Source organism: Homo sapiens, chromosome 2 (assembly GCF_000001405.40).
Source record: "Homo sapiens chromosome 2, GRCh38.p14 Primary Assembly".
NCBI classification, from domain to species: domain Eukaryota; kingdom Metazoa; phylum Chordata; class Mammalia; order Primates; family Hominidae; genus Homo; species Homo sapiens.
The window spans coordinates 171,218,256-171,234,703 of record NC_000002.12 but is presented as its reverse complement, the minus strand read 5'-3'; the positions used below and the strand labels follow the sequence as shown (position 1 = coordinate 171,234,703).

Sequence of the window (16,448 nt, the reverse complement as noted above, 5' to 3'; positions counted from 1 at the left end):
TAGCCTTGAAAATAGATTTCTACCTTTTCAAAGCAATGTCACTTGCCAGAGACAGACATAGACATTTGAAATGCATTATAGCCTTCACAGTCCATGTGGGCATCTCTCATTTGGAATGCCATCTGCTGAGCTCTTCCAAAACTGAGCTCGACAGGTAATTCTATCTGTGAGGAACACATTCAACTGACAAGCAGCTATTTGGTTTCCCTCTACAGGAATGAAGATACACACACACACACACACACACACACACACACACACACTCTCTCTCTCTCTCTCTCTCTCTCTCTCTCTCTCTCTCCACATTGATAGCTTCCTTTTATAGTTTTTTCATTTTGGTCCTTAAATATACTCTGATTCTTTCATTTTACCTTTTTAAAATGTCTCTTCTCGTTACAATTTCCGACAAGGTCACATGGTAGAGAAAATATGTGCTTTGAGACCTCAGAATCAGCCTAAAATCTTGGTTCTGCCACTTAATGCTTTGCAACTTTGGGCAAGTTCCTTTGCTTCTGAGCCTCAGTTTCTCATCTATAAAATGTGAATGCTAACGTGTCTTCTCACACTGCCATCACTCACTTTTATATAACATTTTAATCTATAAGTTGTCACATTTTAAAATCACACTGATCTTAAGTCACACAGGGATTTTGGCTGGAAGAGAATGTTATTCCTTGATTCTTAGTGCTAGGGTTCTCGGTGGAAAGCAGTTGGCTCTTCATTTCTTCTTCATGATCTCACAGAAGAGTAAAGAGGATTCAGGACCTTCTGATTCATCACTATGGAGGATAGAGCTGACAAAGAACCTCTTCCCAATATAAACACATACAAATGCTAGATAAAATATTACTACATCATTTTTTAAGTGGAAGAAATGAAGAAAGAAAAAGGTAAGAGAAATAAAGCAATCCATTCTAGCAATGAAGCAAAAACTCACAGCCAAAGTAGCAAGATTCAGGAGTTACCAACAGCTCAGGGGAAGACCAAACCAGCATGTCGGCCCTATGAGATAGGTGCTGAGTGGCAGCCTCCACACAGCCCTGGGACTCTGCAAGAATCTCAAGTCCAGGGTCAATAAATACAGATCTACCTAGAACATCATAATGAATAACATAACATTAAAGATAAGGGGAAAAAAATCTTAAAACAAACAAGGGAAAGGCAGATTGTCTACACTGGATCAACAGGCAACAAAATAGAGGTGAGGCACAAAAGCAATAAACATCTTAAAAGTACTAGGAAAAAATCACTGTCATCCTTCTATATGCCTAATAAGCAAACATTAAAATATAGAAAGCAAAAGCAAATGGGAACACGAGAAAATTTTAGAAATCCAGAGTCATAGTAGAAGATTTTAGTGCCTCTATCCAAAACTGATAGATTAAAGGGTCAAAAAATCAGTAAACTTCTAGAGAATTCGAACCACACAATTATCAATTTCATATATAAATAGTACCCTACCACCAATAATATAATATGCAATATTATGTTCACTTTTTAAGCGTGCATGAATTTTTTAAAAAATGAATTACATACTGGGCCATAAAAGAAGAGAAATACCAAAAATTGGTATATTATCTCTGAAAAAATGTAATATAATTGAAAATGAATTATTAAAAAGATGCTAAATAAAACCTTAATGTTTATAAAAACTAAAAAGTACACTTTTAAATAATTTACTTTTCAAATAAAATAAGTTAGAAATAAAAACATGTTGAACTAAATGACAGTAAAATGACTACTTATTAAAATTTGGATACAGCTAGGAGAGTTAAAGCCTTAAATGTAGGTACATCAGCATTTAAAAGTATTAAAAATCTGTAAGATCAATATTCATCTAAGGAAGTTAGAAAAGGAGCAACAGAGTGCATTCAAAAATGGTAGCAGGAAGAAGAAAGAAAAACAAAAGTAGAAATTAATAAAATAAAAAATAAACAATAAAGATAAATCTTATGTTTTGAAAGACTAATAAAATAGAGAAGTGTCTGGTGACAAACCAAAATATACAGGAGGCACAATTAATCATATTAGGAATGAAAGAAGCTCATAATTACAGATGAAGGGAAATTTAAACCACAGAAATTATTATGTTGAGTAACATTAAATTGCTGATATTCAACCTTTTGACTTTGCAAAACTGCAATTTGATGTTAATATGAACAATCATAGTCCTAACATTTGAAAATATAAAGTGAATAATTTTTCAGATAAATGACAAAAATTCACCAAAGAGGAAATTTTAAAACTTTAATATACTTATAATCATTAAAGAAATTGAATTATAGTAAAAAAAAGTTTCCCCAAACAGCATCACTCAATTTACAACCCAGTGTTAGCAAACCTTCAAGAAATAACAGTTTATACCTACCTTATTGTCTTCCAAAGAATAGAAAGATAGAGAAAAGAAATCATTGGTTCATTTCAAAGTATCAATCTTAGAGAAATTCTCACACATGTGTATAATGATAGGAAGATAACATCCAAGGATGTTCATAATCAGAAAGTTTATAATATCCAAAATCATAAATCACTAAATGTCTTTCAATAAAGAAACATATAAGTAAATTATGGGATATTCATACCATAGTCAAAATAAATAAATCAGAGGTATATGTATCAGCACAGAAAAATCTTTTTTCTTTTTTTTTTTTTCCTTTTTTTTGGAGTCTTGCTCTTGTTGCCCAGGCTGGAGGGCAATGGCACCATCTCGGCTCACCGCAACCTCCACCTCCCGGGTTCAAGTGATTCTCCTGCCTCAGCCTCCCAAGTAGCTGGGATTACAGGTATGTACCACCATGCCCAGCTAATTTTGTATTTTCACTAGAGACAGGGTTTCTCCCTGTTGTCAGGCTGGTCTCAAACTCCTGACCTCAGGTGATCCGCCCACCTTGGCCTCCTAAAGTGCTGGGATTACAGGCGTGAGCCACCACACCCAGCCTGAAAAATCTTTAACTATTAAAGATCAGTTAAAAAACAAGTTGCAAAAGAAAATGTACAAGGTGATATCATTTATAAAAATATTTTCATCTTATAAAGGTGGTATTTGTATAAAAATAACTACAAGTTCCTTGTGGATATAGAGGTAGTAAAAGTATGAAACATACATGACAGTGACACTGAGGATAGTTACTATATCTGGGGATGAAGGGAAGTAGATGGGAGGGGCTTAAGGAGGGAATTTCAATATCTGTCACTGTTTATTTGTGAGGGTTAAAGTAAATACTTGTAGTGGGTGGAATGGTGGTCCTCCAAAAGCTATGTCCACCAAAAGCCTGCGAATATGACCCTATTTGGAAAAAGGGTCTTTGCAGATATAATCAAGTTAAGGGTTTTGAGATGAGATCATACTGGGTTAGGGCGGGCTCTCAATGCAATGATCAGTGTCCTAGAAGAGAAGAGAGGGAGAAGGCACACTGAGGAATGCCAAGGACTGCCAGCAGCACCAGAAGCTAGGAGAGAGGCACAGAACAGACTCCTAGCTTCTCCTAGGCTCCCTCTGAGCCTCCAGGAAGAACCAATCCCGGTGACATCTTGATTTTGGACTTCTGGCATCAGAACTGTGAGAGAATAAATTTCTGTTATTTTTAAGCCATCAAATTTGGGATAATTTGCAATATTGTATTTCTTTCCTAGAGCTGCTGTAACAAAAGTTAATATATGTCAAACCTGGGAGGTTTGTGTGTATTTTCTGTATTTCTCTCCATATTTTAAATACCCGAGGAAGAGGTTTGCAGGTGCAAACCTTCAGTAAAATGCCCTTTAATGTCTCTCAGCTGCTTTTGGCTCCAGATATACGGGTACACTTGATAGTGGAAACTGAAGTCAGTTCTCTGTTCCATTTTCTCCTTTGCCTAACTCTGGCCATTTACCAAAGAGTTGCTAGCGTCTTGGCTTTTGGTGTTCTCTATAGCATGTTCAAAAGTTCTGACATCAAGCCCAGAATCAACATTTTCCAGAATGATTATGTAACTGTAGTAGGTCTGTTGCCTGATGAATTGGGGCAGGTCAATACGCCAAGACACCAGGTTGCAGAAAAGAAAGCAGTTTAATTGTACAGCTGTTGAACAAGGAGACGGGAGGAAATCTCAAATCTATCTCCCTGAGGAGTCTGGGGCTAGGGTGTTTAGGGGTTTTAGAGTGGTCCAAAGTGTGGAGATTGTTGATTGGTGGAAGAGTGCAGGGTGGTGTCGGGACAGGGGGATGAAGAAACTGTATTCTCTTGCGGATTCCATTCCTCTATAGGGGCCTTCAAACTGGGTGGTGTCAGCTATTTCCCTGGAATTCGGAATTTGGAAAACATCTTAAGCAAGTCTTAAAAGTCTTATGACTCTAATGTCACAGATCTTATCTTTGGGGACAGCAGGGATGCAAATGGGCAGTATCTGGAGCTACATAGCTTTTGGTTGCAAGGAAGTGGGTCAAAGTATAGTCTGACTAATGCTTAATTATAACTATATTTCTGCCCAGGATTCTTGTTAACTCTGTGAGGATGGCTTCAATTGCAAAGTCTTTTATTATTTCTTTGTTATTTGTGCAAAGCAATGAAGTGTCATTTAATGTATTTTGTAGCAGTTAATGGATAAAAAGAGTTAGATGGTGGGCCTCTGGAAATAAGTATTAGCTTTTCAAATGAATAATTATGGAAGTAATCACTTTTTATTAGTCTTTTTTTTTTACTGTAATTTGCATTTTTCTGGAATATAAATTTGACTTGCAATGGGAACTCCTACTAAACAGAGGTAGTACCTTACAAACATGGGTGGAACCTAAGGAAGGGCAAGAACAGCAAGGCCTTGTGCATGGTAGAACCTGGAGCTTTGTGCAAAATCAGAAAGTCTTTCTTTCAATCAGCTTCCTCTGCTAACTCGCCATGCCAATGACCCAAGATGGCACAGCATGCCTAGTGAGGTACGATTTTTAAAAATTGATTGAGAGGTGTCTGTGTTCTTAGGCGGAGGCAATACCTAAGCCAGGAGGAAGGATTTGTTTTTATGAGAGGGCTCTCTTGAATGCTCCTACTTAGTTGTGCAAATGCAAAGTTTGCACCCTTTCTCTTGAGGAAAGGACTTCCTAGGACTGAAGAACAGAGATTCTGTCCATTTTTCCTTAGAATTGAAGTCCAGTAGCTCATCAGGGTCAACCAAAGTGGTTCTGTCCTCTGGCAGAACAGGATACCACAGCTTCCAAAAGGGATGGCACCCGGAGGGAAGAGTGAGTTTAAGCTGGCAGCTAGAACTAAACACAAAATGGCAACAGTTGGATTCTCTGAGGCCCAGCTCTCCTGGCATTGAGTTGAATATGTGAATGCAAGTCAAAAAAGTTCTGATCTTGGAGGCCAAGCATTAGACTCTGGGCTGAGGAAGACAGGCAAATATCCATTAGCCTGCACAAGACTGGCACTGAATGTTGAGGCTGTGTGGCAGGGATCAGACTCATACTGCTGTGAGCTCATGAGATTTCCAGTTCCTTCCTTTTTGAGGTTTGATAGGGTCAATTCTTCTGCACCAAGAAAGCCCCTGAGAGTTTTGGACAATTAAGTGGGAAGGCCTCACTGGGCAGGTCCTGGAAAAGAACATGTGACGACTTGAGTAAAATATTGGAAAACAAAAGATGTAAGACCATATTGTTCCCTGAGGTGGAGAGGTGTGTCTTATAGGACACGCATATGCCCTTTCAGTTCAAGAATCTACCACTGAGTGGAAATTCCCAAGTGCATGAATCTAATTAGCTTGACCAGGTCAGATGCCCAATTCTGTTCCATGCAGCTGGGACCTCCTAAGCAGGGAGGCCAATTGGCAGAGTTGAGTAGGCAGGCATTGACAGAAAGGTTATCCTACATGCAACACAGAATTTTTTTTTTAATTACAGTTCAACCACTAGCTTAGCAAAATATATCTCCAGAGTACAAAATGCTACCTTCACAGATTCAAACAACCATTATCTAATAACATAGGCTAAAAAAGAGACAGTCAGTGTTGCTCAGAACAACACAGACAACTCCAGAAGGACATGAGTTTAAACGCTGTCAACTGAACTGAATCACTTGGGAAAAATTAATCAATCTGAACCTCAACTCTCCCATCTGTAAAGTGACCACAATAATACCTACTTAATAAAAGAGTTCTAAATATTATTTATCTTTGGGTTTTTTTAGAGACAAGGTCTTACTCTGTCTTCCAAGCTGGAGTGCGGTAGCACAACCATAGCTCACTGCAGCCTCGAACTCCTGGGCTCAAGCAGTCCTCCCACCTCAGCCTCCCAAGTAACTGGGGCTATAGGTGTGCACCATGCTTAGCTGATTTAAAAAATTATTTCAGAGATGAGGTCTTTCAGTGTTGCTCAGGCTGGTCTCTAATTCCTAGCCTTAGGTGATCCTCCTGCCTCAGACTCCAGAGTAGCTGGGATTACAGGCATGCCTAACAGGTTGTGAATATTAAATACAGTAACATCTACAAAATGCCTTGTCCCTGGCCTACAGCCTATTCTCAGGAAAAGGTCAATGTTCTTTTATTTATTTGTTTATTTTTTGAGATGGAGTCTTGCTCTGTCACCCAGGCTAGAGTGCAGTGGCACAATCTCAGCTCACTGCAACCTCTGCCTCCTGGGTTCAAGTGATTCTCCTGTCTCAGCCTCCCAAGTAGCTGGGATAACAGGTGTGTGCCACCACACCTGGCTAATTTTTGTATTTTTAGTAGAGATGGAGTTTCTCCATGTTGGCCAGGTTGGTCTTGAACTCCTGACCTCAAGTGATCCACCTGCCTCAGCTTTCCAAAGTGCTGGGATTACAGGTGTGAGCCACCGCGTCTGGCCTTCAGTGCTATTTTTAACTATACTAACAAGAGTTAGCAGTGTTCTTCCAAGGTGTCTAATATACTCCAGGGTATTGTTCTCTGAAATTTGTAAGCGCTTTCAGACTCTTTGGGAAAATGTACTATACTGGAAAGAAATTTTATTTGTGTTGTGTTTCTGGTTTACTGACTAAGTTGTAGAGGTAAGACAAGGGAGGGCTGTAATATTTTTCTGGCTGTTCGACTGTTCTAAAATGGGGAGTGAATTAGTCAGAACTTTTACAGTTGCAAGTGAAAGAAATCCAACTGGCTTAAACAAAAAAAAAAAAAAAAAAAAAAAAAAAAAAGGAGATTTACTAACTCATGACTAACTCATGTAAATGAAAAAGCCCAGGGGTATCGTGACTCCCAGATTATTTGGACTCAGGTACACATAAGTCAAAACCAGAAAGCTTTTGGTCATGCTTTCTCCTGCATGGATGCATTGTTAGACAAGCTCTCCTGCAGTTGTAGCAAATATTCCAGAAGGAACTCCAGGCTCTCATTCTATTCACTGAAAAGAGATCATCTCTTTCTTAATAGTTTCAGCAAAAAACTGGAGGAAGTTTCTCATTGGCCCAAGTTGAGTCACATGCCCATCTCTGAACCAATCATGAGGTCAGGAGATAAATTAGCCAGGGCTGGGTCATGTATTTATCATTAGAGCTTGGGGCTGGGGTAAGGGTCAGCTCCACCTCAACTACATGGAGGGGTAGTAGGGAGTCTCAAAGCTTGATTGGGACACTTTTACCAATAGAAAGAGGGTGGGAATGGTATGCCAGAGAGGCATTAAACAAACAGTCCCTGCAGAAGGAACTGCAGCTGTAGGAGAAAAGTTAAAACAAAATGACTATTCTCTGATTGTTTTGCTGCTACAAAATGATTTTGTATCTACCTCATGGTAGCCACTGAAATTTATTTTCTAATTCCATTTTAAAAAATTATGTAAATCTGTTTGAGAATGTATTCTAGGATGACAAAAATGAGGCCAACTACATGAAGATTAACTTATCAGAAGCTGCAAATAAATTGATTATTTTACATAAGAGTAGTTTCATTCTAGCTGGATGATTTTTGTATGCATGACCACTACCCTAACCATCCTATTATAACAAAGGAAATTGCCATCTGCCACTTTGCTTGTATGAAATATTTCTGGAGGTGGCTTGCCAACTTCAGCCAGAATTATAAAACTAATGAGTTTTTAGCTACCATATGCACAGAGTGTAATAATAGCAGGTTCTAGGCAAATGTTGTCTACTTGCTTCTGGAAGTGCTTTCCCTCCATGATAGGAGCAGATGCCCAAGCCTCTATTAAGAATTCTGTTTTCTTCATAAATCTGTACAGTGACATGGAGTCCTCATATTCTCATGAAGTGAGTTTTATATGGAAAACATGGCCCTCATTACCCTGTTTCTTATGGGGTTTTCAGCCTCTGTTTTGTGGAGACTGGCCCTTATTATGTCAGGATAGAGTACCAGATGCCTTTTAGGAAATTTGGCCAGTTTGAAATTTCTAATAGGTCTTCTGCTCTTTTGATGCTTTACTGATTTATGTGAAGGCAAACAAGATTTTAATTTCCTAATACTACTTGCTATTTATATTAAAATGTCTATTTGTACCTACACCAGTGCTTTATGCTATAACAGTCAGAATAGGTTAGATTATGTGGTTGTAACAAAGGCCCCTGAATGTCAGTGGTTTACAATAAAGCCTTATTTCTCATTCTCACTACATGTTTCACCATTTTCCATAGATTAACATGCAATTTGTTTCCTTGGGGCTCTAGTTCATGGGACTCCACCAGGGGAAATCCATTAATACTCACAGGAGAATATTAGGGGGGTGGTGAGAGAGTATTATATCGATTTATAATTTAGGATGCTTAAAAAAAAACAAACCTAATACCAGAAAATCTAGCTCTGTCTACTGATAGTTCCTAGAAGCAACTACAGCCCATGACAATAAGCACACCTAGATGTTGGTTTCTAAATTCCATTCAGCAATGATGAAAGAAATCAGGGCTCCTTGGAAAAATGGCTGATTCTCAGTTTAGGTCAGGGAAAGATTGTTTCAGAAAATAAAGACACATTAAGGAACTGAAAATGATGTGTGTATGCACTCAACGATTGATGGACATTTGGATTGTTTTCACTTTTTTTGCTATTATAAGTAATAATGTATGAACATCCATTCATAAATAATGTATAAACGTTAGGGTTTTTTTTTGTGGACATACATTTTCAGTTCTCTTGTATGTATAGAGTGGAAAATCTGGGTCGCAGTAACTCTGTGTTTAAGTTTTTAAAGAACTACAAGACTGTTTTCCAAAGCAGTCATGCCATTGCACCTTCCTACCAGCAGTGTACAAAGGTTCCAACTTCTCCACATCCTTGCTGACACTTGCCTTTTTCCTTTTTTTTCCCCTTATAGTCATCCTGGTGGGTGGCTATCTCATTGTGGTTTTGAGTCCCTGATGACTAATGATGTTAGGCATCTTTAGTATGCTTATTGGCCATTTGTGTGTCTTCTTTGGGGAAATGTTTGTGCAGATCCTTTGCCTGTTTTTAAATTGGGTTTTCTTTACATTGTTGAATTGTAAGAGTTATTATATATTCTGCATACAAGACCCTTATTATACATATGATTTGCAAGTATTTTCTCCCAATTTGTGGGTTGCTTCTCACTTTCTCACTGATGTCCTTTGAAGCAGAAAAGTTTTTAATTGTGATGATACCCAGTGTATTTTTTTTATCATTACCTGTGCTTTTAGGGTCATATTTAGTGCCTGCCTTGAGATATTTGATTCATTTTGAGTTAATTTTTATATATGATGTGAGGTAGGGGTCTATAATAAATTCATTCCTTTGTATATGAATATCCAGTTGTTCCAGAAACATTTTTTAAAGACTATTCTTTCCTCATTGAATTGTCATGAAACCCTTGTTGAAAAAATCAATTAACTGTAAATGTGAGGATTTATTTCTGAATTATCAATTATATTTCATTGATATACACATATGTCTATCACTAAGCCAGTATCACTGTCTTGATTGCTATAGCTTTATAGTGAGTTTTGAAACTAAGAAATGTGACTCTTCCACAGTTTTGTTCTTTAAGATTGTTTTGGCTCTTCTGGGTCTCTTGCATTTCCATATAAATTTTAGGATGAGTTTGTCAAATTTTGCAAAAATTAAAAAAGTAGCTGGGATTTTTATAGGGATTTTGTTGAATCTGTAGATCAACTTGGGGAATATTGCCACCTTAATGATATTAAGACTTCAGATCCATGAACATGGGATATCTGTCCATTTATTTAGTAGTTTACTATAATAGAAGGATAAGGTTTAAGAATTAGGACTATACAAAGCAGTCTAAAGTTTCAATGCAATCCCTATCAAAATACCAGTGGCATTTTTCTTGGAGAAAAAAAAAATTATGAAATTTAAAGACCCAGAATAATCAAAGCAACCCTGAGCAAAAAGAACAAAACTTTAGCATCACATTACCTGACTTAAATTATACTACAAAGCTATAGTAACACAAACAGCACAGGGCTGACATAAAAACATCAACCAATGGAACAGAATAGATAACTCAGAAATAAGTCTACACATGTATAGCCAACTGATTTTTTACAACAGTGCCAAGATCATATATTGAGGAAAAGACAGTCTGTTCAAAAAATGGTGCTAGAAAAACTGGATAGCCATATGTGGAAGAATGAAACCAAGTCCCTATCTCTCATATATACAAAAATCAAATCAAAATGGAGTAAAGACTTAAATCTAAGACCTCAAAGTATAAAACTACTAGAAAAAAATGGGGAAATGCTCCATAGCATTGGTCGGGGCAAAGACTTCTTGAGTAAGACCTCAAAAGCACAGGCAACAAAAGCAAAAATAGACAGATAAGATCACATCAAACTAAAAAGCTTTTGGACAGCAAAGAAAAAAATCAACAAAGTGAAGAGACAACACAGAATGGGAAAACATATAACTACCCATCTAACAAGCGATGAATAACCAGAATATACAAGGAGCTCAAACAACTCAATAGCAAAAAAAAAAAAAAAAATTGATTTTAAAATGTGCACTGCTGGGAGTGGTGGCTCATGCCTGTAATCCCAGCACTTTGGGAGGCTAAGGCAAGCAGATCACCTGAGGTCAGAAGTTCAAGACCACCCTGGCCAACATGGCAAAACCCCATCTCTACTAAAAATACAAAAATTAGCTGGGTATGGTGGTGAGCACCTATAATCCCAGCTACTCAGGAGGCTGAGGCAGGAGAATCGCTTGAACTCAGGAAGTGGAGGTTGCAGCTAGCTGAGATCTTGCCACTGCACTCCAGCCTGGGCAACAGAGTAAGAGTCCTTCCAAAAAAAAAAAAAAAAAGTGCAAAATACCTGAATAGACATTTATCAAAAGAAGACATAAAATGGCCAACAGGTATGTGAAAGAAAAATGCTCAACCTCATTAATCATCAGATAAATGCAAATCAAAACTACAATGAGATATCATCTCACCCCAGTTAAAATGGCTTTTAGCAAAAAGACAAAAAATAATGGATGCTGGTGAGGATTAAGAGAAAGAGGAATCCTTGTACACTGTTGGTGGGAATGTAAATTAGTACAATCACTATGGCAAACAGTATGGAGGTTCCTCTAAAAACTAAAAATAGAACTACCATATGATCCAGCAATCCCACTTCTGGGTATATAGCCAAAAGAAAGTAAATCAGAATATCAAAGACATATCTTAGGCTGGGCACAGTGGCTCATGCCTGTAATTTCAGCACTTTGGGAGGCAGAGGCGTGCAGATCATTTGAGGTCAGGAGTTCGAAATGAGCCTGGCTAATATGGTGAAACTCCGTCTCTACTAAAAATACAAAAATTAGTTGGGCGTGGTGGTGCATGCCTGTAATCCCAGTTACTCAGGAGGCTGATGCAAGAGAATCACTTGAACCTGGGAAGCGGAGGTTGCAGTGAGCCGAGATTGCACCACCATACTCCAGCCTGGGCGACAGAGCGAGACTCCATCTCAAATAAATAAATAAATAAATAAATAGACTATAGTTAATAATTTATATTGTATATCTCAAAATGACTAGAAGAGTAGAATTGGAATGTTTCTAACACAAAGAAATGATAAATGCTTGAGGTGATGGATATCCAATTATCTTCATTTGATCATTACACATTATATGGTTGTATCAAAATTTCACATGTCCCCCATAAATATGTAAACTATTATGTAGCCATAAAGATTTAAAAAGACCACTTTGGGAGGCAGAGGGGGGTGGATCACTTGAGCCCAGGCATTCAAGACTAGCCTGAGCAACATGGCAAAACCCTGTCTCTACAAAATACAAAAAAAATTAGGCAGGCATGGTGATGTGCGCCTTTGGTTCTAGCTCCTGGGCAGGCTGAGATGGGAGGATGGCTTGAGCCTGGGGATGTCAACACTGCAGGGAGCTGTGATCGTCCCACTCCAGCCTCGGCAACAGAGCAAGACCCTGTCTCAAAAATAAATAAATAAATAAATAAAAAAGAATTAGGAAATAGTAGGTTTTGCTTAATTACAAATTTACCCTGAAATCCCAAAGACTTAACACCACAAAGGTTTCTTTCTAATTTGTGATGCATGTCTAGTGGGACTGGGGTTGTCTTCCCACATAGCCATTCACAGACCCAGGATAAGGGAGTCTACAGCATTTTATAGCTGGCTTGTAGGTTGCCATGAGAAAAGAAGGGAGAATTGAAGGATCATGCATCAGCATTTAAAAGCTTCACTCAAAAGGGACATATGTATTTTTTGTCAACAGCTAATTGGCCAGAACCAGTCACACAATCCTGACTGACTATAAGAGGCCTGGGAAATGTTGAGGAACGCATGGGTATTTGGTGAGCAGTAAATGTGTCCTCCAAAAAATTCATATGCTGACGCCCTAACCCCCCATGTGACTGTATTTGGATATGGTGACTTGAAGGAGGTAATAATGGTTAAATAAGGCCCAATAAGGGTAGGGCCCTAACCGGATAGGACTAGTGCTCTTATAAAAAGAGACAGAGACCCCAGAAATGTTTTTTTCCATGTGTACAGAGGAAAGGTCATGTGAGGACACAGTGAGAAGGTGGCTGTCTCCAAATCAGGAGGAAAGGTCCTAACAAAAACCAACCCTACTGGCACTTTGATCTTGGTTTCCAGCCCCTAGAACTGTGAGAAAATAAATGTGTGTTGTTTAAGTCACTCGTTAAGGCAGCCTGAGCTGAGAAATATGCATCAGCCACGAAGAGGAAGGGAAGACTAGAAAAATAGATCGGACCATATTGTAGAATGCTTTAAATTAATCCATGTTTAATTTTTAGGCAATGGAAAGCTTTGGATTTTTAAAAAATAGCTTATAAAGCAATGCATCATCTTCTTTCCTCCAAGGTGTTCATGAAGTTTCGGTGAGGTGCAGGGCAGTACCACAATAGGCACTCCTTTAAATGTTTGATTCATAAGGATTATTGAAGTCATACGCCGAGCATCCAGCTCTGACCCCAAATCTAGTTCTTTTTCATTTTTTTGTTCCTTACGCTGTCCTTTCAGGGTAGTTCCCCAGATGAAAAGTGGGCCACCGTTACCAGAAGAAAAGCAAATGGACAGTGTCTAAGTAATGATAACAGATATTCATTACACTTCCTGGTAAAAGAAAATAAAGGATAACTATGACAAAACCAGAAATGTGCTCTCTGCTCCCAGAAATGTGGAATGCTGTGTGCCACTCAAGTCCATTACTTATTCCTAGAGATTATTAACATATAAGCCCCAATTTTTCTCTGTGGAAATTTGTTTCTTAAATTTTTTGTAGAGACAGGGACTCACCAACTTGCCCAACCTGGTCTCAAACTCCTGGGCTCAAGCGATCCTCCCACCTTGGCTTCCCAAAGTGCTGGGATTACAGACGTGAGCCTGGCCTCTCTGTGGAAATTGTAAAAATATATAATTTTATTTAAATATGTGGGTAGGATGAGGAGGTTTTGTTTATTTGTTTAGGATAGGGTTTTTAGGGGGTGAGAGGGGCAATGAAGGAGGCTTGGTTTCTCCTTCTCCCACATCACTACCTGTATTACAAATCACCTTCCCAACTTAATGACTCAAAAAAAAAAACAAACACTATCTTCATAGTTGTATGGGTGAGGGGAAACTTGGCTGGCTAGTTGAGCAGTTCTAAGTCTGCAGTCCTCTAAAGGCTTGCTTGACGATCAAGGATCTACTTCCAAGGTGTCACACTCACATAATTGGCAAGTTGGTGCTGGTTGTTGGTGGGAGGCGATAGTCCTCCCCATGTGGGTCTCTCTATGAGGCTGCTTGAGTGTCCCCACATGATGGCTTACTCTCAGAGCAAGCTACCAAAGGCAGCAAGGCAGAAACCGTAACATCCTTTATGACTTTGTCTGGAAATCATACACTGTCACTTCTGCCATATTATGTTTGTCACACAGACAGCTCTCATTCCTTGTGGGAGCTGACTTCGAAAAGGCATGAATATCAAGAGGCAAATCACCAGGGCTCATCTTGAAGGCTGGCTGCCATGCTGCTCCCTTCATATTGATGATGTAGTACACATCTTTGGGAGGCTGAAGAATGGTCCCTAAAAGATAGCAGGGCCTAATTCCCAGAACCTGTAAATGTTATCTTACATGGAAATGTTATCTTATATGGAAAAAGGGTCTTTGCAGATTTAACTAAATTAAGGATATTGAAATGGAAATATTATTCTGAGTTGTCCAGGTATGCCCTAAATGCAATCAGAGTCTTTCAAAAAGAGTACAATGGACAGAATGTTTGTGTCCTCCCAAAATTCCTATGTTGAAACCCTAACCCCCAAAGCGATAATGTTGGGAGCTAGAGACTTTGGGAAGTAATTAGGTCATGAGGTTAGAGCACTCATGAATTAAATTAGTGCCCTTAAAAAAGGACCCCAGAGGCCAGGAGTGGTGGCTCACACCTGTAATCCCAGCACTTTGGGAAGCCGAGGTGGGCAGATCACTTGAGGTCAGGAGTTTGAGACTAGCCTGGCCAACATGGCAAAACCCTATTTCTACTAAAAATACAAAAATTAGCCAGATGTGGTGGCACGTGCCTTTAATTCCAGCTACTCAGGAGGCTGAGGCATGAGAATTTCTTGAACCCAGGAGATGGAGGTTGCAGGAAGCCAAGATGGCACCACTGCACTCCAGCCTGGGTGATAAAGCAAGACCCTGTCTCAAAAAAAAAAAAAAGGTGGGGGGAGGGACCCCAGAAAGCTCTCTTGACTCTTTCTGCCATGTGAAAATACAAGACATTGGCAGTCTGCAACCCAAAAGAGGGCCCTCACCAGAATGTGACCATGCTGTCACCCTAATGCTGGACTCCCAGCCTCCAGAACTATGAGAAATACATTTCTGTTGCTTATAAGCCACCCAGCCTATGGTATTTTGTTATAGCAGCCTGAACTAAGACAGAGAGAGACAGAGGGAGACTCGATTCACACAGAAGAGAAGGCAATGTGACCACAGAGGCAGAGATTAGAGTGATGCAGCCACAAGCCAAGGAATGCCAGCAGCCTCCATAATTTGAAAGAGGCAAGGAATGAACTCTCCTGGAGACTACAGAGGGTGTGCAGCCCTGCCAACACCTTGCTTTTGGCCTAGTGAAGCTGATTTCAAACTTCTGGTCTCCAGAACTGAAAGAAAACAATTTTATGGGGTTTTGTTTTGTTTTAATAATTGGAGACTGTTTATTTTACTTTTGATATGGTTAGGAGCAAGGCCTTTAGAGTCAAATCGTCCTGGATTTGAATCTATCATTGTGATCTTGGGCATATTCTTGCACCTTATTTTTCTCCAAAATGGGGCTAGAAAACAATACCTACCTCAAAGGTAAAGCTTTAAAAAATTGTGGGTTTTTTGGCAAAATACACAAAATATAAAATTTACTATGTGCTATGGTTTGAATGTTTGTGTTCCCTCCAAAATTTAGGTTGAAACTTAATGTCTAATGCAAGGGTATTAAGAGGTAGGGCCTTTAGGAGGTGATTAGTTAATGAGGACTCCTCTGTCATGAATGGGATTAAGGCTCCTACAAAAGAACTTCACACAGTATTTGCCCCCTTTTTGCACTTTTGCCTCTCCACATGAGGACACTAACATGAGGGTTAGTCCCCCCAGAGGATGCAGCAACAAGGTGCCATCTTGGAAGCAGAGAGCAGCCCTTGCCAGACATCAAACCTGCTGGCACCTTGATCTTGGACTTCCCAGCCCCCAAAACTGCGAGAAATAAATTTCCATTGTTTATAAATTACCCAGTCTCAGGTATTGTGTTATAGCAGCATAAATGAACTAAGACACCAACTTTTTAAGTGTATAGTACAGTAGTGTTAAGTACATTTTCATTGTTGTACAACCAGTCTCTTCCAGAACTCTTTTCATCTGGCAAAACTGAAACTTTATACCCATTAAACGACATTCTATTCCCCTCCATCTCTAGCCTATGGGCAACCACCATTCTACTTTCCGTCTCTATGAATTTGACTACTCTGTTTTTTTTTTGTTGTTGTTATTTGTTGTTGTTGTTGTTGTTTGTTTGTTTG

General features: G+C 39.0%; 1 protein-coding gene across 1 annotated transcript in view; it reads left to right on the top strand.

Moving 5' to 3' along the window:
* The first annotated feature begins 3,410 nt into the window (after positions 1 to 3,410).
* Positions 3,411 to 16,448, top strand: part of TLK1 (tousled like kinase 1) — a 240,471-nt gene continuing 227,433 nt past the window's right edge. The window contains exon 1 of the mRNA NM_001136554.2: positions 3,411 to 3,559. The gene's annotated coding sequence lies outside the window, so the exon portion shown is untranslated. The remainder of the gene's footprint in view (positions 3,560 to 16,448) is intronic.